This window comes from Homo sapiens, chromosome 5 (assembly GCF_000001405.40).
Source record: "Homo sapiens chromosome 5, GRCh38.p14 Primary Assembly".
NCBI classification, from domain to species: domain Eukaryota; kingdom Metazoa; phylum Chordata; class Mammalia; order Primates; family Hominidae; genus Homo; species Homo sapiens.
In genome coordinates, this window is record NC_000005.10 from 54899309 (window position 1) to 54900206 (window position 898).

Here is an 898-nt window from a genome sequence, read left to right on the forward strand (position 1 = left end):
ATACCTAACTTCCCCCCAACTCTTCTGATCCAACTCTTTGAAGCACATGATGTCCCCTTCTCTTTGCACCCATTCAATCAGGGCAGTATAATTTCTGTTTCCTGCTGAGCTACTGAAGGTAGGATGAGATGAGAGCAGAAAGCGCCAATCACCACACCTGATGGTACTCTCTGTTCTCATCTCGCCCTACATTCAGTAGCATTCAAACTGACTGCTCTTTCCTTGAAATCCTTTCCTTTCTTGGCTTCCATAAAGCAACAGGCTCTGTGTTAACCTCCCACTTCAGTGACTGCACCTGCTTAGTCTCCTCTGCTAGCTCCATGTCCTCTAAGCCATCTCTGCACTCAGAGCTCAGCCCTACCTGCTCTCTTCTTCTCCATCTACAAATTTTTTCCCGCCCCATGGTTTGAAGTACTACATGGAAAGGACTCCCAAATTCATACTTCTGGTTCTGAGGGGCCCCCTGGGTTTCAGCCTTACTTGTGTATCCAAAGCCCTTGTTATGGACCAAATGTCTGGCCTTCTCCCCCACCTCCCTGCCCAAATTCAAATGCTGAAATCCTAACCCTCAATGTGATGGTATTAGGAGTGGGGGCCTTGAGAGGTAATTCGATCTTGAAAATGGAGCCCACATTAATGGGATTAGTTTCCTTATTGGGAGAGACCAGAGAGCTAGCTTCCTCTCTCTGTTCTCTACCATGTGAGGATACGATGAGAAGACAGCTGTCTACAAACCAAGGAGAATGCCCTCACCAGACACTGGATGTGCAGGCACCTTGATCTTGGACTTCCCAGCTTCTAGAACTATGAGAAATAAAATGTTTGTTATTTAAGCCACCCAGTCCATGGGGCCTTATGTTATGACAGCCTGAACTGAATAAGATAGGCCTGCTTGCCA

General features: G+C 47.0%; 1 annotated feature.

Moving 5' to 3' along the window:
* Positions 364-521: a silencer, noted in NCBI's record as "fragment chr5:54195500-54195657 (GRCh37/hg19 assembly coordinates)". NCBI's record gives its function as "represses an EF-1alpha promoter that drives an FKBP-Casp9 reporter gene in an ReSE screen in HepG2 liver carcinoma cells {active_cell/tissue: HepG2}" and the evidence as "EXISTENCE:reporter gene assay evidence [ECO:0000049][PMID:32094911]".